General features: G+C 48.9%; 1 protein-coding gene across 7 annotated transcripts in view, besides 1 other annotated feature; it reads left to right on the top strand.

The window, feature by feature from the left end:
* PIP4K2B (phosphatidylinositol-5-phosphate 4-kinase type 2 beta) overlaps positions 187 to 20,744 on the top strand; it is a 33,866-nt gene continuing 13,308 nt past the window's right edge. Inside the window, exons 1-7 of one of the 7 annotated variants that reach the window (XM_011525327.3) lie at positions 187 to 477; positions 9,375 to 9,505; positions 12,823 to 12,920; positions 15,404 to 15,500; positions 19,139 to 19,291; positions 19,811 to 19,891; positions 20,214 to 20,360. In XM_011525327.3, coding sequence (XP_011523629.1) covers positions 12,856 to 12,920; positions 15,404 to 15,500; positions 19,139 to 19,291; positions 19,811 to 19,891; positions 20,214 to 20,360 — 543 coding nt within the window. In that variant the 5' untranslated portion in view covers positions 187 to 477; positions 9,375 to 9,505; positions 12,823 to 12,855. Of the gene's footprint in view, positions 478 to 6,857; positions 7,018 to 9,374; positions 9,506 to 12,822; positions 12,921 to 15,403; positions 15,501 to 19,138; positions 19,297 to 19,810; positions 19,892 to 20,213; positions 20,361 to 20,744 lie in introns of those variants that run through there. The other 6 variants (XM_047436888.1, XM_011525326.4, XM_047436889.1 and 3 more) reach the window with 6 other exon arrangements.
* Positions 192 to 1,010: an enhancer, noted in NCBI's record as "H3K27ac hESC enhancer chr17:36954986-36955804 (GRCh37/hg19 assembly coordinates)". NCBI's record gives its function as "activates a minimal SCP1, AML or CMV promoter by ChIP-STARR-seq in naive and primed H9 embryonic stem cells {active_cell/tissue: H9 hESC(naive and primed)}" and the evidence as "EXISTENCE:reporter gene assay evidence [ECO:0000049][PMID:30033119]".

The following is a 20,744-nucleotide window of genomic DNA, read 5'->3' as shown; positions in this document are numbered from 1 at the left end:
CGGGCGGGGCGGCCGCTGCCTCCCCGGGACGGGCCGTACCACGCGGACGGGGAGGACGGGGCCAGGGGACTGCAGGGCGGCTGCACCGCCCGGGGGCGGGGTGCGGAGCGGGCCGGCGGGCTCCCCGGGGCGGGGCGGGAGGGCGGGGCGTGGGGCGGACGGAACCACCGGGGCGGGGTGGGAGGTAACGGGACGGGCGCGACCATGGCGCGGTGAGGGAGCGGGGGTGGGGATCGGTCCGGGGGAGGCCTGAGGCCGCTGGCTTGTGCGCTGTCTCCGCCGCCCCCCTCTTTCGCCGCCGCCGCCGCCGCCCCGGGCATGTCGTCCAACTGCACCAGCACCACGGCGGTGGCGGTGGCGCCGCTCAGCGCCAGCAAGACCAAGACCAAGAAGAAGCATTTCGTGTGCCAGAAAGTGAAGCTATTCCGGGCCAGCGAGCCGATCCTCAGCGTCCTGATGTGGGGGGTGAACCACACGGTAACCAGCTCCTGCGCGCCCCTCTGAGCGCGGCCCCGCGCGCTCCCACGCCCCCTGCAGCCCTGGGCCCTTGCCCCGCAGGCCCTGCCGGTGACGCCTGCCACCCCTCGCCAAGCCACTTGCACGCCCACCCCACCCTTGCACGCCTTTCGGCCCCGTGTGCACTCCCCGCACGCCACGCGAGGCCTGGTGTCTCTGTGGTCTGCCGTCGCCACCTCCCCTTCCCTCCAGCCCTTCTGGCTTCCTGCGTGTGGCGTGCTCGCTTGGGGCAGCCCATGGAGCGCAAAGGCAAGGCCTCAGTGCAGTGGAGTCGCTTTCATCCCTGCTTCTCCTCCTCCCCCCTCATCCTGTTTGTGAGGGTGTATATTCCCCCTTGTTCCTTACAGCCGGCTGCCAGCTCTGTCAAGTAGCAGTGGTCTGCCCAAATAGTCCTCTCTTTCTGATCGTTTGGTTGTTGTGGCTGCTCAAATTCTTCCATCCTCCAGGCCTCCTTACCTTTGAATGTAGAACTCCACCCTGGGTTTCCTTTTTTTTCCCTCTTGAACAAGATGTATCAACTGGAGAAGCACAGGCTTCCTTGAACCAGACACTTCACCTGGGTCTCTCTGGGTTAGGGAGAAGAAAGAATGGCTATTAACCATTTGAGAGAAGAGGATGCCTGGTTATAAGGAGGGACTATTCATAGTAGAAATAATATGTCTTCCCATAGTTTTTGAAGGTGATCATTTTAAAGATGTTGACTTATCTGTTGTGTGGCTGCAATGTTGTGATGATGCATAGTGATTATGGTCCTAGATAGGAGAGATAGGTCCCCTGGGTCCTTAGGGTGCTTTGAGATTGTTCAACAGCCCCTGCCAGGAAGTTGGATCCTGACAGTTTAAGCTGGAAGACTGTTTATGTGGTGTTTGTTCAGGGTCTTTATTCTCCCTCTTCCAACCACTTGCTCTTTGCCTTCTGACCATTTCTTTATGAATCCCCACACTAGGAATGAGCAGAGGAAGTAAAAGGACCCGAAACACCAACTTCACTAACTAGAATTTTGGAATAAGGAGGATCAAGCTTGGGTTTCCTGTGGATTTCAGTTCTTTAGGTTCACTTGTGAGTGCTTGAAATTGCTCACAAGACCAAGCGATGACAAAGAGGGCCAGCAAGACTTTGCATTGCTTTGGCAGAGGAGCTGAAGGTGCCTTTGGGTGGAGATCGATGAACCGTAATCTGAGCTAGGGTTTTAGATCTTGACCTGTCATTTAGGAAAGTGCATGTGTAAATTGAGGTCTCTGTGGTTTCTTGGTCTTGGGCAGGTTACTGTTTTCACTGTCATCACTGGTGTTAGTGAGGGTCCTGCCAGGATAGCGAGTACCAGTGGTATAATGCCCAGACCTCTAGGAGCTGCTTCGGGCCAACAATCCAGCCCAGTTTGTTACTCGGTCTTCCTGCTGTCCCAGGGGTCATCTGACAACATTTCTAGGGAAACTGGGTGATCAGAATATGAACCCCATGTCCCTTTCTGGAAGTCAATCCTTGATTTTGTTCTGCATCCTGCTTCTCACTCTACCAGGCCTCTCTCTGCTGGTTCTGTTTCTCACAGAAAGCAACCTGTCTGTAGAGAACTGGTAGAGGCCTGAGAGTCAGGAGTATTACAGCTAGCTGCAATGAACCTTGGGTCCCTTATTTTACACATGAAGAAAAGGAGGCCTCAGGTGGAGGATTAGCTTGCCTGTGGTTACAGCAAGAGATGTCGCTTATTGTCTAGCACCATGGGACTGTATCGGCCAAGGGTGGTGCCTGAGTGGCTGGTCTTGTTTTCTTTGCCTCCTGTTTCTTTTCCTCTCCCTCAGCCAAGTCTCAGGATAGATGCGAAGTATAGTCCGGTTAGAGAAGGTGAATATATGCTCTGGGTTATACGCCTATGCATGTCAGGTCCTGGGAGTGTGTGTGATGCATGGTGTTCCGATAGGCAGGCATGAGTCTGTCCATATGTGGTTATGAAGTTTCTCAATAGCTGATGGTTAGGTATCACGAGTCAGGAGTCCTGTGAGTCCTACTCTGTTGGACAAAGTGGTCATCTTTTTTCTTTGCTAACTTTAAGTTGAAAGTTTGTTTGAGGGGCTAGTTGGAAAGGCATTGACTTTAAGCAAGATCCGTGCCTCTGGACATAATGAACAGGCATCTCATGGGAACTTCCCACCACTGCCCTGGACAGGCTAAGCTTCAGAGGCCAGTTAGTCGTAAGTTTTATTGCTTCATCCTGGTCTGCAGTAAGGTCTGATACTTCAGTGTCCCCATTTGGGAACTGAGACATCTGCCTAGAAGAAGAGTGTAATCTTGCACTCGTCTAAGGGATCAGGACCACATTGCCCTCGGTGGACTGCTGCACTTTTTTGGAGATTTCCTCCCTTCAAAAAAAGCCTACTTTGTAACATTTTGTCATCTGAGATTTCAGATACCACCTTTTCTTTAGTTTCTCACCTGTTTAGGCATTTAGGCATGCTGGTCTGTGGCTAATGGTGTTTCAGATAGGAAGGATGGATATGTCTTTATCTACAGCAGAAGTTAGTTACCCTTTCATGAGGTGATTAGTTTACTTCTAGGTGGAAAAAGAGAGGACTTTGAACTTGGTGTTGTCACAGGAGCTGCTCTCATGGACAAGAGCCCATGGATTTTGTGGAGGAAGAATGTGTAGGAAACAAGGAGAAAAATCAGAAGACTTTGCACCTGTCAGGGAAGAACTAGTGAAGAGCAAAAACCAGTGTTTTAGTGGATGAAATACAGTTCCGAGGGTTTGGAATTAGGGAAGAGATGGCCTCAGAGAGGAGCATGGAGACCATGGGAGGTAGACCTGACTTGATACTTGTTGGCCATTTTAAGAACCAGGTATGTGTGAAGCCTTACCACAGGGATCAGAGGAGCAGGAGCAGTTGATGGTGACTCTGTATTTAACCATTTGAGAAACTGCCAAACTGTTCTCTAAAGTGGCTGTACCATTTTACATGTCTACCAGCAGTGTATAAGAGTTCCAGTATCTGCATCCTTGTCAACACTTGTTATTGTCTTTTTAAAGTTATTAAAGCCATTCTGTTGGGTGTGAATTCGTATCTCATTGTGATTTTGTTTGTTTGTTTGTTTTTGTGATGGAGTCTCACTCCGTCACCCAGGCTGGAGTGCAGTGGTGCAATCTCGGCTCACCGCAACCTCCACCTCCCGGGTTCAAGCAATTCTCCTGCTTCAGCCTCCTCAGTAGCTGGGATTACAGATGCCTGCCACCACACGTGGCTAATTTTTTTATTTTAGTAGAGACAAGGTTTCACCATGTCGGCCAGGCTTGTCTCAAACTCCTGACCTCAGGTGATCCACCTGCCTCGGCCTCCCAAAGTGCTGGGATTACAGGCATGAGCCATCGCACCCGGCCTCATTGTGACTTTGATTGGCATTTCTGTGATAACTAATGATGTTGAGCATTTTTTCATGTACTTACTGGCCATTTGTACATATTCTTTTCTTTTTTTTTTTTTCTTGAGACAGAGTCTTGCTCTGTCGCCCAGGCTGGAGTTTAGTGCCACAATCTCAGTTCACTGTAACCTCCGCCTCCTTGGTTCAAGCGATTCTCCTGCCTCAGCCTCCCAAGTACCTCGGATTACAGGTGCCTGCCACCACACCCAGCTAACTTTTGTATTCTTAGTAGATATGGAGTTTTACCATGTTGTCCAGGCTGATCTCAAACTCCTAACCTCAGGTGATCCACCTGCCTTGGCTTCCCAGAGTGCTGGGATTACAGGTGTGAGCCACTGTGCCTGGCCTGTACATTTTCTTTTTGTTGTTGTTGTAGAGACAGGGTCTCGCTTTGTTGCCGAGGCTGGTCCTGAACTCCTGGCCTCAAGTGGTCCTCCCGCCTTGGCCTCCCAAAGGACTGGGATTGCAGGCATGAGCCACATCCCCAGCCTTCATTGGTATCTTTTCTTTGGAGAATGTCTATTAAATTTTTTGCCCATTTACAAAGATCTTTTTGCCCATTATTAAATTGGGTTATCTTCTTATTATTGAGTTACAAGAATTCTTTTTATATTCTAGATACAGGTCCCTTATCAGATATATGATTTGCAAATATTTTATCCTATTCATTGAGTTGTCTTTTTCATTTTTCTTTTTTTTTTTTTTTTTTTTTTTTTGAGATGGAGTTTTGCTCTGTCGCCCTGGCTGGAGTGCAACGGTGTGATCTTGGCTCACTGCAACCTCTGCCTCCCGGGTTCAAGCGATTCTCCTGCCTCAGCCTCCTGAGTAACTGGGATTACAGGTGCCCGCCACCACACCAGGCTAATTTTTGTATTTTTAGTAGAGACAGGGTTTTGCCATGTTGGCCAGACTGGTCTCGAACTCCTGGCCTCAAGCAATCCCCCCGCCTCGGCCTCCCAAAGTGGTGGGATTACAGGCGTGAGCCACTGCACCTGGCCTGCCTTTTTCATTTTTCTTATGGTATCTTTTGAAGTTCAAGTTTTTAACTTTAATAAAGTCCAGTTTATCTTTTTTGTTGTTGTTGTGTGTGCTTTTGGTGTTATATCTAAGAAGACATTGCCTAACCCAAGGTCATGAAGATTTACTCCTTTGTTTTCTTCTAAAAGTTTTATAGTTCTAGCTCTTTTTTTTTTTTTTTTTTTTTTTAATGAATTGGGGTTTCTCTGTATTGCCCAGGATGTTCTCAAACTTCTGGCCTGAAGCAATCCTCCCAACTAGAGTTTTAGCTCTTTCTTTCTTCTTCTTCTTTTTTTTTTTTTAATTGTATTGTGGTCAGAACATTTAACATAAGATGTACTCTCATGACAAAATTTTAAGTGTACGATTATGTTATTGATGACCATGGGAACAGTGTCATAGTGCAGCTCTGTAGAGCGTATTCATCTCGCTTGAATGAAACTTTATGCCTACCAATTAACTCCCCATTTCCCCCGCCCCCAGCCCCTGGCAACCACCATTCTACTCTTTGTTTCTATGAATTGGACTGTTTTGAAACCTTATATAAGGAGAATCATGCAATATATGTTTTTCTGCGACTAGCTGATCTCAGCGTAAGGTGCTCAAGGTTCATCCATGTTGCACATAGCAGAATTTCCTTCTTTTATTAAGGCTGAATAGTATTCTGTTGTATATGTATACCACATTTTCTTTATCATCTGTTGATGGATTTGTTTTCACACCTTAGCTCTTGTGAATAGTGCTGGAGTATGTATAGTTTTAGTTCTTACATTTAAGTCTGTAATCCATTTTGAATTCACTTTTGGGTATGGTGTGAGGGACAGATTTATTCTTTAGTCTGCTCAATTTCTCTCCTACATTCCACCCCAGTTCTGTTCTGTCCATACATTTTCTTTCTTTCTTGTTTTTTTTTTTGTTTGTTTTTTTGAGGCAGGGTCTCGCGCTCTTGCACAGGCTGAAGTGCAGTGGCACAATCACGGCTCAATGAAGCCCCTACCTCCCCATGCTCAGGTGATTCTCCTGCCTTAGCCACCCGAGTAGCTGGGACTACAGGCACATGCCACCACACCCGACTAACACTTGTATTTTTTGAAGAGTCGGGGTTTTGCCATGTTGCCCAGGCTGGTCTCGAAATCCTGGGCTCAAGCGATTTGCCCACCTCGGTCTTCCAAAGTGCTAGGATTACAGGCGTGAGCCACTGACCTCCTTTACCTGTCTTTTTATCTTGCCCTACTGCTTTAAAAATCTTCAGAGGGGCCTGGCATGGTGGCTCACGCCTGTAATCCCAGCAGTTAGGGAGGCCAAGGTGGGCGGATCACCTGAGGTCAGGAGTTCAAGACCAGCCTGGCCAACATGGTGAAACCCCGTCTCTACTAAAAATACAAAAATTAGTCGGGCATGGTGGCGCATGCCTGTAATCCCAGCTACTCGGGAGGCTGAGGCAGGAGAATCACTTGAACCTGGGAGACGGCGGTTGCATTGAGCCAAGATGGCGGCATTGCACTCCAGCCTGGGTGACGAGCAAAACTCCGTCTCAAAAAAAAAAAAAAAAGAAAAAATCTTCAGAGATGGCTGGGAGCAGTGGCTTACGCCTGTGATCCCAGCACTTTGGGAGGCCGAGGCAGGCGGATCACTTGAGGTCAGGAGTTTGACACCAGCCTGGCCAACATGGCGAAACCCTGTCTCTACTAAAAATACAAAAATTTGCCGGGTGTGGTGGCATGCGCCTGTAATCCCATCTACCCAAGAGGCTGAGGCAGGAGAATGGCTTGAATCCGGGAGGCGGAGGTTGCAGTGAGCAGAGATCGCGCCATTGCACTCCAGCCTGGGCGACAGAGTGAGACTCCGTTTCAAAAAAAAAAAAATCTTTAGAGAACATTCCTACTCAGGCCTTTGAATGAAGTTTCTTTTAGCAGGCCTTCCCACCTCACAGGGAGCAGTGGGACTCAAACAGCAGGAGAAGGAGAAAGCAAGATATGGAAAGGAGGAGTAAACACCGGTAGATTTATTGGCTCCTGTGGCCCTCTCTTCCTCTCTGGAGTTGCAGTTCTTGCTTTGGACCTCCTCGGTCCTGTGAGTGTATTTCTAGCATGTCATGTTTTCTGATGGTGGCAGGTAACAAGTGATTGCTGGTGGTGGCCAGCCCACTGCTGAACCGACAGCAGAGGACTGGAACATGTCAGGAAACCTGCATGCCTAGTCCAGGCATCCTAGGTAACAATTCCTATGAAGGTCGCACAGGGAAGTGGAGGCTTCTGGACACACAAGTTCACCAGACTAGAACTAGCTGCTGAATTTTCATCTCCATGTTGCATATTGCAGAATTTTCTTCTTTTTTTTAAAGGCTGAATAGTATTCTGTTGTATATGTACAACAGAATCATACCTCTCACTTTGAGAGACTGAGGTGGATGGATTGCTTGAGCCCAGGGCTTTGAAACCAGCCTGGGCAACATGGCGAAAACTTGTCTCTACTAGAAATAAAATTAGCTGGGCATGATGGCACACCTGTAGTCCCATCTACTAGGGAGGCTGAGATGGGAGAATCACCTGAGCTCAGGAAGTTGAGGCTGCAGTGAGCTGAGATCATACCACTGCACTCTAGCCTGGCCTATGGAAGTGAGACCCTGTCTCAATCAATCAATCAAGGAATTTTCATCTCCAGTAGATCAGCATAGAGTGAACTCATTGCTTTTTTTTTTTTGAGACGGAGTCTGGTTCTGTCACCCAGGCTGGAGCACAGTGGCATGAACTCGGCTCACTGCAAGCTCCGCCTTGTGGGTTCACGCCATTCTCCTGCCTCAGCCTCCCGAGTAGCTGGGACTACAGGTGCCCGCCATCATGCTCCGTTAATTTTTTTTTGTATTTTTTTTTAGTAGAGACGGGGTTTCACTGTGTTAGCCAGGATGGTCTTGATCTCCTGACCTCATGATCCGCCCGCCTCGGCCTCCCAAAGTGCTGGAATTACAGGCGTGAGCCACTACGCCCAGCTCTGCAGATGTCTTTTTGGTTTTGTATCCCCAGCTCCTAGCATATAGTAAGGCCCTTAATACACTGAGTAGAAGTAAATTGAATAGAAATTTGGCAGTCTGGCTGGGCGCGGTGGCTCACGCCTGTAATCCTAGCACTTTGGGAGGCCGAGGCAGGTGGATCTCCTAAGGTCGGGAGTTCGAGACCAGCCTGGCCAACATGGAGAAACCCCATCTCTACTAAAAATACAAAATTAGCCGGGCATGGTGGTGCATGCCTATAATCCGAGCTACTCAGGAGGCTGAGGCAGGAGAATTGCTTGAACCCGGGAGGCGGAAGTTGCGGTGAGCACGCCATTGCACTCCAGCCTGGGAAACCAGAGCAAAGCTCTATCTCAAAAAAAAAAAAAAAAAAAAAAAAAAATTGGCAGTCTGAGCCAGATTAGGAAAGGCCTTGAATGCCAGGCTAAGCAGTTAAAACTTTACCCTGAGGTTGAGAGGAGCAGCCATGGAAGATTTCTAAGCAGGAGTGTAGCATGATCTTGTAGATTCTCCTAATGTCAAGTGCTCTTGGTGCAATACCAGGAGAGGCATTAGGTGCCTTGTTTCTGGCCTGATGTATGAGGACTGGGAGCCTGACCCTCTGGCCATGCTAGCCTCATCCTTCTCTGAGCCTCTGCTGTTCTTGATGTCTGTATCCCTGGATTCTCACTTAATTGCATACTGCTTTGACTTTGAGGGTGTCAGGGTTTTTTTTCATCTCCCTGATGAGATTATAAGCCTCCTGTTTCTTTTGCATGTACAACACTTTCTCCCCTTGTGTTCTCCTCCTCCCACACACCTACCTAACAGAATGAAGCACGTAGCAGATATTTCAATAGGAACAGTTCAATTGAAATGGAATAGAACTCTCTGGGATATAAAATTTCACACAACTAAAAAAATAATAATAATAGGGCTAATCCCTACAGTGAATCATCTACATGTGGCCTAGTAGAAATGAGGGGTAAGTCTCCCCTAGTTGAGATATGGATTGTTCACCAATGTTAGCTGAGTTAAAAATTTCCTAGGCTGGGCCAGGTGCAGTAGCTCACATCTGTAATCCCAGCATTTTGGGAGGCTGAGGCAGGCAGATCACGAGGTCAGGAATTCGAGACCAGCCTGACCAACATGGTGAAACCCCATCTTTACTAAAAATACAAAAATTAGCAGGGCATGGTGACATGCGCCTGTAATCCCAGCTACTCAGGAGACTGAGGCAGGAGAATCGCTTGAACCCAGGAGGCAGAGGTTGCAGTGAGCGGAGATTCTGCCACTGCACTCCAGCCTGGGCAACAGAGCAAGACTCGATCTTCTGACCTCGTGATCCGTCCCCTTAGGCCTCCCAAAGTGTTGGGATTATAGGCGTGAGCCACTGCGCCCAGCCGAGCCCTGAACTCTTTGTCTCTGTTTTCCCTTTAAGTCTCGGAGCCAGGCTTGATATGCCAGGAAAAAGGAAATGGGACAGCCACCACGAATTGTTTCTGTTGGCAGAAAAACAAAGAAGTGGAATGGTTTCCTCTGTAGGCACAGATTTGACAGTCACATTCTCTTGTGAGCACCCCCTGGAATAGGAACTGGCATGACTCTTCTGGGGTTTTTTTTGGCTATTGGGAGGGTTTAGCCAATGAAGGGTATCACAGAGCTTGATGCTGGGAATTTAAAAATCAACTTTATTGAGGAATAATTTATGTATATTAAGTGTGCGTATTTTAAGTATACAATTTGATGAATTTCAGCAAATGTATTTGCTCATGTAACCATCACCCCAAGCAACATATAAAACATTTCTGTCACCGTAGAATCACACTTCTCATGTCCCTTTACACTCAGCACCCCCCGCCCCCTGGCCAGGCAACTCATCTCATTTCTCTCATTATAGATGCCTGCTGTAGAATTTCATATAAATGGAATTATACAGGATACACTCTTGTGTCTATGCCAGTTTTTGCCAGCAGTTTACCTAGTGTCTGCTCCACTGCCAACTTATAAACTACCCTGCCCCCAGCATCCCTCTCAAAGCACGTGCATTCCTATGGCTTCCTTCATTTCTCCATGAGTAAATTGGGTTTTTTCCCAACTCTAGGAAGATATGGTTCCCCAGCCCAGTTACTGCATTAACTTGAACTTCCTCCATTCTCTGACATTTCTAAATAAAAAAGGTTTGTAACATAAAAGGAGCAGCAAATTAAATGCCATTTCCCCCATTTATGCTCCTGGAGGAGTTCTAATGACTCTAGGTTATCCCCTCACTGCCACCTGGGGCCTCATTGAGATAACAGGATTTGCAAGGAAAGTGGGAGACACAAGGCTGTGCCCCCTCCCCCCAGTCCATTAAGTCAGGACTAAGGTTTCCTCTGTAAATCCTGAATGCATTAGTGGCAACTGGGTTGAGGGTCAAATGTCAAATACTCTGCTGTGATGGGAGAGGACATCTGTGGTTAATTAGACCACTAACTGGCTAAACTCGAGGTGGGGAAGGGCAGGATCTGCCCTCATCTCTGCACCAATGGAAAGCTAGCTCTCTGTCTAGGATCCAGCTCCCTGAAGGGATGAAAGTCAGAAGGTTTGTTTGCAGTAGAGGCAAGGCATCCTGCCCCATCTCCCTTAGTTTAGTGTATGGCAGGACTTGACATCAGGAACTGGCCCTGCTTTATTTTATTTTCTTTTTTGAGACAAGATCTCACTCTTGCCCAGGCTAGAGTGCAGTGCAGTGGTGCAGTCAGCTCACTGTAACCTCAAACTCCTGGCCTCAAGCAATCCTCCCACCTCAGCCTCCTGAGTAGCTAGGATGATAGGTGTACACGACTATGCCTGGCTAATGTGTTTAATTTTTTTTTTTTTTTGAGACAGAGTCTCACTCTTGTTGCCCAGGCAGTGGCGCGATCTCGGCCCACTATACCTTATGCCTCCTGGGTTCAAACGATTCTCCTGCCTCAGCCTCCCGAGTAGCTGGAATTACAGGTGGCTTCCACCACACCCAGCTAATTTTTTTGTATTTTTAGTAGAGATAGGGTTTCACCATATTGGCCAGGCTGGTCTTGAACTCCTTACCTCAGGTGATCTGCCTGCCTCAGCTTCACATTTAATTATTTTTTTTAGAGATAGGGTCTTGCTGTGTTGCCCAGGGTGGTATAGAACTCCTGGCCTCAAGTGATCCTCCTGCCTTGGCCTTCCAAAGTACTGGGATTACAGGCATGAGCCACTGTGCCAGGCCTGGCCCTGCTTTTATCAGGAGGGTCCAAGTGGGGCAGTGGCCAGACATTTACTACTGCTCACTTTAATCTATTACAGCCGGGCGCAGTGGCTCATGCCTGTAATCCCAGCACTTTGGGAGGCCGAGGTGGGTGGATCACGAGCTCAGGAGATCGAGACTATCCAGGCTAACATGGTGAAACCCTGTCTCTACTAAAAATACAAAAAATTAGCCAGGTGTGGTGTCGGGCACCTGTAGTCCCAGCTACTCTGGAGGCTGAGGCAGGAGAATGGTGTGAACCCAGGAGGCGGAGCTTGCAGTGAGCTGAGATCGCACCACTGTACTCCAGTCTGGGCGACACAGTGAGACTCTGTCTATAAATAAATAAATAAATAAATAAATAAATAAATAAATAAATTTAATCTATTACCTTGGGGATATGAGTTACAAGTCCACACAAACCCATCCAGCTTTTTTTCTTCCTTGAGCTAATTTCTTGAGTGACCCACAATTTGTATGAAGATATTCAAAGGCCTTAATTAATACCCACTTAGGTTGGGAGACATTTATCTATTGATCATTTATTATTGCATATGACAAATATTTATTGAGTATCTGCCATATATGCTAGTAATGGTGCCAAGCACTGTGGTGCCCCAAAGATTAGTAGGATGCTCTTTGCTTAGAAATATAATTAAAGCCGAGCGTGGTGGCTCACGCCTGTAATCCCAACACTTTGGGAGGCCAGGGCAGGTGGATCACCTGAGGTCAAGAGTTCAAGACCAGCCTGACCAACATGATGAAACCCTGTCTCTACTAAAAATACAAAAAAAAATTAGCTGGACATGGTGGTGCATGCCTGTAATCCCAGCTACTTGGGAGGCTGAGGCAGGAGAATCACTTGAGGCCAGGAGGTGGAGATTGCAGTGAGCTGAGATCGTGCCATTGCACTCCAGCCTGGGCAACAACAGCAAAACTCCGTCTCAAAGAAAAAGAAAAAGAAAGATAAATAATATAGTATTGCCTAGCTTAACTCTAGCAGGTGAGGTTTATAGGCATTAACTACAATATGAGAGACTGTGAGATGGCCAGAAGACAGATACAAAGAAAACTTCAGGAATTCCAAGATGGGAAAGGGTATTGATGGTCTAGAGAATCTTGGAAAACTTCATGGAGGAGGTGCCTTTTGAGCTGGCCCTTATCAGGTGGAGAGTTTCAATAGGTAAAATAGGACAAGGTTGGGAACTTACTTGAAGAGAAGAACAGAAATAAAGGCAGGGAGGGGCCAGGTGTGGTGGCTGACACCTGTAATCCCAATAATTTGGGAGGCCAAGTCTGGAGGATTGCTTGAGCTCAGGACAGTGAGAACTTGTCTCTACACAATACAAAAAAATTAGCTGGGCGTGGTGATGTGCACCTGTAGTCCCAGCTACTTGGGGGGCTGGTGTGGGCAGATTGCTTGAGTCCAGGAGGTGAAGGCTGCAATGAGCCATTGTCATGCCACTGCACTTCAGCCTGGGTGACAGAATGAGACCCTGTCTCAAAAAAACAAAAAAAGACAGAGAGGGAAACTTGGACATGCTTTTAGCAAGATTGTGGCATCCACATTGTAGCTTAGTGTCTCTGAGGCAGGTGGCCTCCTGGCTGAGAGCCTTACGTTCTCCTTGCTTTTCAGATCAATGAGCTGAGCAATGTTCCTGTTCCTGTCATGCTAATGCCAGATGACTTCAAAGCCTACAGCAAGATCAAGGTGGACAATCATCTCTTCAATAAGTAAGTTGTCTACTGAGTGGACTCAGGTTTTGTGGGCAGTCCTTTCCCTCAAGTCAGAGGCTTCTGAAGCCTCATGCATGGTGGGAGCCAAGGCAGCACCTGGCAGGGTGTGACAGCAGCACCTGGATCTCAGAGCGGACAAACTGGCTAGGAAAATGCATTCGTTATGTGCCTCTCATCCTAGTATTGTCGTCTCACTCTATTATCAGCCTACCTCCGGTGGCCCTTGGGGCATGTGGCTGGGCCCAGGGTGATTCATCTAGAGCCAGCTCAGGTGGCAGTGAGCTGCTCTGGAGCTGAGGTATTCAGTGTGAGGCTGTAGCAGTGGCCCCATCTTGGTCTTAGTCTGAGGCAGGAGGTTGCCAGGCATGTTCTTGGTCTGGGATGCCGCCAGGCTCTTTTCTGTCTGGCTGGTGTATGAGCAACAGGCAGAGCATGGGGCTCGAGGGCACTATCCAGAGTAGCACTTCCCATTTTTGTCTGCTGTCGCTTCTTGGATTAGCACCAGTGTCTGAAGGTTGTCTCAGATATTGTTGGAAACACTAGCGGCCGCCACACCTGGCACAATTTTGGGCCTGCTTTAAGCCCTTTGGGGCCTGGATTTTCCATCCCTCTGTGGACCACCCCAGGACTATTTGCTGCTTACACTTTCTCCTTTCTGCATGTGAATCCTGGTTCTATTCTTCATTGTCTCACAGTCCCCACCACCTCACTAGCTGGGTTCTGTCACCCCACCATTCCCAGACTGTTAGTCCAGAGGAGAAGATTGACTTGAGAACATCCCTTAGTGACCTCCCTCTGCCATAGTAAGTAATACCATCTTGTTCTAGAAGCCGTCTGTCTCCATAGCTGCCACCTGTTAAGTGGCCACCTAAGGAGGGAGAGGCAGCCCTCAACTCAGAGACCAGAAAGAAGGTTGTTCTGACCCAGAAGAAAGAAGGTTGTTCTGACTCAGAGGTCCGGGTTCTCGAAGTGGGCATTGCACCACTACCCCCTTCAGGGTCCATGGCCTCTGGTGAGGTGCTACCTCCTTGATATCTTGGCCTAAAGCAGAGAACCCAATCTCTTATTTTCTTCTATCTTTATTCCTTTTGTCCTTCCAACAACTGTGTATGTGTTTTTGTTGTTGTTATTGGTGTTGTTTTGAGACAGTTTCACTCTTGTTGCCCAGGCTGTAGTGCAGTGGCACGATCTTGGCTCACTGCAACCTCTGCCTCCCGGGTTCAAGTGATTCTGCTGCCTCAGGCTCCTGAGTAGCTGGGATTACAGGCACCCACCACCACGCCCGGCTAATTTTTTTGTATTTTTAGTAGAGATGGGGTTTCACCATGTTGGCCAGGCTGGTCTCGAACTCCTGACCTCAGTCAGGGTGATCCACCTGCCTCGGCCTCCCAAAGTACTGGGATTACAGGCAGGAGCCACCTTGCCCAGCCCTGTATGTGCTATTTATTAGATTCTAGCACTGTTTACTAGAAGACGGGGTAGATAAGGCAGATAGGCCACTTCCTTTCCAAGAAGACATTCCTTTTGATTTCCTTAAAGCCTGTCATCCTGGAGTAGTCACTGGGACATATTTCTGAAAGGGGGTCCCTAAACAGGATAGCTGTTGTAAAGATGGAGGATTGGTAAGAGTCATCATTTCAAGGTGATTCTCTTTCCTCCTGGGAGTCTGTATTGATGAGGGAGTGGGAGGGTGGAGATTGGTGCCAGCAGCCAGCAGACAGGGCTCTGTGGTCCCACTCAGTTGACTGAAGACCTCTTTAACTCAGGCACTCTTTTCCTACGTCCCAGTGGAAGCCCAGGGCAGGGCTTCCTGTAAGTGACCATCTTCAGGATGCTTCCACAGGAATATGGCCAGAGGAGAGGGGCCCTCTGATGAGAGAGGTTTTTCCTTGTAGCATTCAGGCTGATTTCACCTCACAGCAGATGTTCACATGCAGGTTCCCACTGTAGTAAGCACAGTGCTTGTGAGGTGGAGCCTGCACTCAGGCTTATGGCCCAGCGGGTGAGAGTTTTTTTCTTTAATGTATGTTTTATTGAAGGGCAGCACACACATAGAAAATCGCACAAATACCAGTTATACTGCTGGATTACTTTTACAAAGTGAATACAAGATGTAAAGTTTTTAAACTTTTACATGCTCAGAATCACCTGGAGTGTTTGTTTTTCGACTCAACTCCAGAATTCCTAAGAGCCTAGAAACCTACATGTTAAGTATGGCAGATGTTCAGATCCAGGCAATCTGTGGACCACACTTTGAAGAGTTCTGAAGTCAGAATATAGATGAGGCTGGGTGTGGTGGCTCATGCCCGTAATCCCAGCACTTTGGGAGGCTGAGGTGGGAGGATCGCTTGAAGCCAGGAGTTCAAGACCAGTCTGGGCAACATAGCAAGACTCTGTCTCTATTACAAAAAATAATAATAATAATAGAATTAAGATGAGCAAGGGGCAGTTCACAAAGACATATCTCTGCTTTTCCCTAGGGAGAACCTGCCCAGCCGCTTTAAGTTTAAGGAGTATTGCCCCATGGTGTTCCGAAACCTTCGGGAGAGGTTTGGAATTGATGATCAGGATTACCAGGTATGGAGGCTCCTGGCAACATCAGTGGATTAGGGAATGGAATGGGGTCAGGAAGCCACAGGACAGGTAGAGAATCAAAACGTGTTGGCTGTTTTTGTGCTGTGTCTCCCTGTCATGCCTTGCTCCAGCCCAGGCGGTCTCTCCCCCAGCACTGGGGGCCCCTTGCAGGGCGAGGGCCTTAGAAATGCTTCTGAGGATGCTGCACACACTCAGGTTCCTCTCCCTCAGAGGGAGGGCAGCAGGAGGGAGAGGGGTCTGCGGAAGCACCTTTATTTTAGTCTGACATTCCCAGTCTAGGCTGAAGAACCCTTCTCATTCGTAGTTTGACTTCAAAGAGAACTGGGTGGGGCATGGTGGCTTATGCCTGTAATCCCAGCACTTTGGGAGGCCAAGGCAGGTAGGTCACCTGAGGTCAGGAGTTTGAGACCAGCCTGGCCAACATGGTGAAACCCTGTCTCTACTAAAAAATACAAAATTAGATGGGCATGGTGATGTGCGCCTATAGTCCCACCTACTCTGGAGGCTGAGGCAGGAGAATCGCTTGAACCTGGGAGGCGGAGGTTGCAGCGAGCTGAGATCACGCCATTGCACTCCAGCCTGGGCGACAAGAGTGAAACTCAGTCTCAAAAAAAAAAAAGAGAGAGAGAATTGTTGTTAGCGAGAGATGAGGCCTCTTAAAGCAGATGAAATAGATTAGAAAAGGAAGACTTCAAGGGTAGTGTAACCTCTTGCCAGGTATGAGTGTCACCTCCTAAACTTGTGCCCTATCCTGGTGGTGGGAGTGGGGAGTTGGTCTGCCAGGGCAACTGCCCCCTTCAGGGCGTGACAGTGTTGTAGAGGCCATTGGCCTGTTGGGAGGAATCAATCCCAGTGTCAGGGACATTAGAATCTGACTCAGTCCATGGTTTCTGTCACTTCTCCTCTTAGCACATCTCCTTGGATCTTCTTCCTTGGCAGACAGCCTTGTGGTGAAGGTGGGCGAATTTTCCACTTCACCTTTACAGCTGTAAGAAATATAGCTGACTTTTTTTTTTTTTTTTTTTTTTTGAGATGGAGTTTCACTCCTGTCATCCAGGCTGGAGTGCAATGGCGCGATCTCGGCTCACTGCAACCTCTGCCTCCCAGGTTCAAGTGATTCTCCTGCCTCAGCCTCCCGAGTAGCTGGGATTACAGGCGCCCACCACCACACCCGGCTAATTTTTTGCATTTCTTTTTTTTTAGTAGAGACGGGGTTTCACCATGTTGACCAGGATGGTTTCGATCTCCTGACCTTGTGATCTGCCTGCCTCGGCCTCCCAAAGTGCTGGGATTACAGGCGTGAGCCACCGCACCTGGCCTGAAATATAGCTGACTTTCATTCATCTGTGGAGAAAACTTTTCCCCATAGCACAGTGAAACCTAGTGTATAGCACAGTGAAACCTAGAATGGATGCCCAAATCTTTTCTAACACTGTAGTTCCTCCCACCCCACCCCTTTGATAGAGTAGTTCACAGCAGCAGAAGGGGCCTTGGGTTAGAGTCTCCTCCCCTCTCTCCTCCTCTCTGGAGGGCTTGCATGCAAAGAAAAGTATCTCGAAGAAGAGGGTGAGGGTTTGTGAGAGGAGGAGGAGATGCCTTGGGCTTGAATGCCCAGGAGTGCCTACACCTAAGAGGTACTGGGAGGTTCCTCCAGCCTGCTGTTAGGATTGAACCCTGAACTCAATCATGACTTGACTGGGGCTGGAGGTTTTCTGGAAACTTCTTGCCACTATTGCAACCCCAAGTTGCTCAGACAGATTCCCTCCATTGTTCCTTGGTGAGGGGTTGCAAGTGAGGGGTTCCTTTCCCTCCCCTGGGCTGTCTAACCACATCCTCTCAGTGTCTGCATTTTGCCCCTAGTAGCCTTGTGGGCGCATGCCCGTGCTCAAGACTGAAATGAGGGCAGGGAGGATGGTGCTCAGGGAGGGGACCCTATATTCTTGGACTACCAGCCACTTAGAGAGTCAGGGGATGCTGCCTCTACCTCCCAACTAGGCTTGCAGCCTGTAAGTCTTATGGTAGAGAGGCCAGGCTGGGAGGAAGAGGCGCTCAGTCACAGAGTCTACTCAACCTTTCTGTAACGGGAACAGCCTGTTTTTTGGGGTGCTACTTTAGCACCTTTGCTGAGGAACTCCCAGAGCTGCTTACCACCTCTGACTTTAGTTTTCCCCATGAAGGTGGTCCTCACTTCTCCACCAGGGTTTTCTGAGGAGGTATTAGGGGAAAGTAAAGAGTAGGATCCTGATCAGCCGGGCATGGTGGTGCATGCCTATAGTCCCAGCTGCTCAGGAGGCCGAGGCGAGAGGATCCCTTGAGCCCAGGAGTTCAAGGCTGCAGTGAGCTATGATCGCACCACTATACTCCAGTTTGGGTGACAGCAAAACACCATCTTTAAAAAAAAAAAAAAAGGCTGGGCACAGTAGCTCACACCTGTAATCCTAGCACTTTGGGAGGCTGAGGCAGGAGGATTGCTTGATCTCAGGAGTTCTAGACCAGCCTGGGAAACATGGCGAAACTACATCTCTACAAAAGCTACAAAAATAAGCCGGGCATGTTGGTGCACACCTGTAGTCCCAGCTACTTGGTAGGCTGAGGCGGGAGGATCACTTGAGCCCAGGAGGTAGAGGCTGCAGTGAGCTGAGATCTCACCACTGTACTCCAGCTTGGGTGACAGAGTGAGACCCTGTCTCTACAAAAATAATAACAGGATCCTCATTAAGAGATGGGGAAACATCTTGGAGAGGAGACATTTCTGTGACATGATCCCCATGTATGTTTTCTTGGGAACAGGGACACTTGGGATCTCCCCTCACCGTTGCTTCCCAGAGGTCCCTTGGCATCTGCTTGGTGAACATATCCCTTTGGTTGACTCACGCCTTCCCACACCCTCCCTCTTAAGGCTTCTACTGCTCTCTGATCCTAATGGGAGTAGGACCTTGAGGAGGAGCAGGGATACAGCCAGGAAAGCTCCCCAAAACTGCCTCCCAGCCTTGCATAGACAAGCAGGAGGTTGAGGCAAGGGGAAAGGTGTCAGGCTCAGAGATGAGGATCAGCTTCCTGCTTTGGGGAAGGTTTTTCAGCATTAGGGTAGATCCAGGGACAAGAGACGAATGGGCATTGCTTCTTTGTGCTAGACCCCTTGAAGACAGTATTTTCTAAGCTTCATCTTTGCTACCCCCAAGAGACTGGGAGAATCAGCTCAGTCTGCATCTTTGTGTTCCTGATGAGGAAATGCAGGGGTAGAGAAGTTAAATGGCTCACCCAAGGTCATAGTGCGTGTGAGAGTCCAGATTAGACTCAGCCCCCTCCATCAGAGGCAGAATTTTAGTTGGTAGGATAGCTATCTGGGATCAGGATGGAAACTTTCACAGTCAGTCCTCTTCCCATCCTAGACTGGGATGAAGAGCAGGTGGTAAGGAACAATTCTTGTCACTTTGGAGGAAGACTTAGGGAGGGATGTGAACACCCTGTGAGAAAAGGGGAGGGTAAACTCCCATCTGGGAGTCCCTCTATCTCAGTGTTGTTGGCTTTCAAGCAGTCCAGCCCCTGAGGGAAGACTCAGCGAAAGTCAGAATTCTGTTCCCCTGCCAAGCCCAGCCTTCTTTTGTCTCGATTATCAGAATTCAGTGACGCGCAGCGCCCCCATCAACAGTGACAGCCAGGGTCGGTGTGGCACGCGTTTCCTCACCACCTACGACCGGCGCTTTGTCATCAAGACTGTGTCCAGCGAGGACGTGGCGGAGATGCACAACATCTTAAAGAAATACCACCAGGTATGGTGAGTCCCAAGCCTGGGCTGCAGAGGATGGGTTGGAAGAGGGAGAAGAGAGCCCTGGGGGAGCTTCTTAGGGAGGGGTTGGTCCTCTCTGGTAATGGCAGCTGCTTCTGATCACCAAGCAGTGGGACTCTCCTGCAACCGTATTTCTGTGAGCTGAAATGCCTACTTTAAAAAAGAAAAAAGGAGCCATGAAGGCTCATCGCTGACTGACTCCCAGTTGGAAAGTGTTCACGCACTGGCATCCGCCCCGTTTCTTCTGAAAGAGGCCCCCTCAGCTCGGCAGGCTTGTTTCTTTTCCCGTCCCATCTCTCCACTCATCTGGAACCTGTCCATGAGGAAGGCAGGGAGCCCCGTGGCACCATCTGTGTGTCTGTCCTCAGCCTACTTGGGTCTTCATTTCTGGGGCACCTGAGAAGGGCCGAAGGGAGCTTCTGGTCTTTCAGGAGTTATGGCAGAAACCCTGGGGCATGGCATGGATAAGAGCTTTGGATATGGAGCTGTTCTCTTCTCCCAGATGGCTGGATCCCTGGCCTGCCTCTGCATCCTGTCTCTTCCCTGCGGCATTCCCATATCAGGCTGGCAGAAGAGATGCAAGGTGTGGATCAGGGATTTTCCTGTGGTAGAATCCTACTTTAAACAAAATCTTAGGTGAGATACTAATAATATGAACCCACAGGGGCTCTGAGCCACCTGCTCAGCTTGCCTCTCCCTCTGCCATGCCAACAGGAGGCTGGAGGTGGCTGTTGCCCATTTTAAGCCTGAGAAACCCCTATTACTTCATAGAACCCAGCTGGAGAACTACTGGTCTAGAGGTTAGAATCCCAGGGAGCCAGGGAGCATTTTAGTCTGGGGTGAGCCCCATCCATCCCTGGCACTGCCTGTTCCTTAGTCCTCTCTCTTCTTCCTTTCCATTCTAGTTTATAGTGGAGTGTCATGGCAACACGCTTTTGCCACAGTTCCTGGGCATGTACCGCCTGACCGTGGATGGTGTGGAAACCTACATGGTGGTTACCAGGAACGTGTTCAGCCATCGGCTCACTGTGCATCGCAAGTATGACCTCAAGGTAAAGGGCTCTGTGTTTGCCGGAGCTGTGCCTCCCCTCTATCTGAGCCCCGAAGGGGCCACTACTCCAACTTCCATGTAATTGGGAAGCTGGAGCCTATGTGTTGGCATGGACAGGGAACTCTGGAGTGGATATGCCTGATTCTTGTGGACCAAAGGCAGTTTGAAGTCCAGGTGACAGTAACAGGAGATTATTTAAGCCCTAAATGTGCCATATTTATGCAGCAGTTGATGTTCCTGTCTGTGGAATGTGCACAGTGAGGGAGGCCGTGCTGACGCATGCACTTTAGCATCCATCAGGCCCCCATGGACTGCCAGCACAAGTGCATCTCTAGACTCTGAGAAGGACACACTTGTGGCTGTGAACTAGGGTGCTCCGTGTTCT

This window comes from Homo sapiens, chromosome 17 (assembly GCF_000001405.40).
Source record: "Homo sapiens chromosome 17, GRCh38.p14 Primary Assembly".
NCBI lineage: Eukaryota > Metazoa > Chordata > Mammalia > Primates > Hominidae > Homo > Homo sapiens.
The sequence above is the reverse complement of the archived record's forward strand: the minus strand, read 5'-3'. Positions and strand labels throughout refer to the sequence as shown.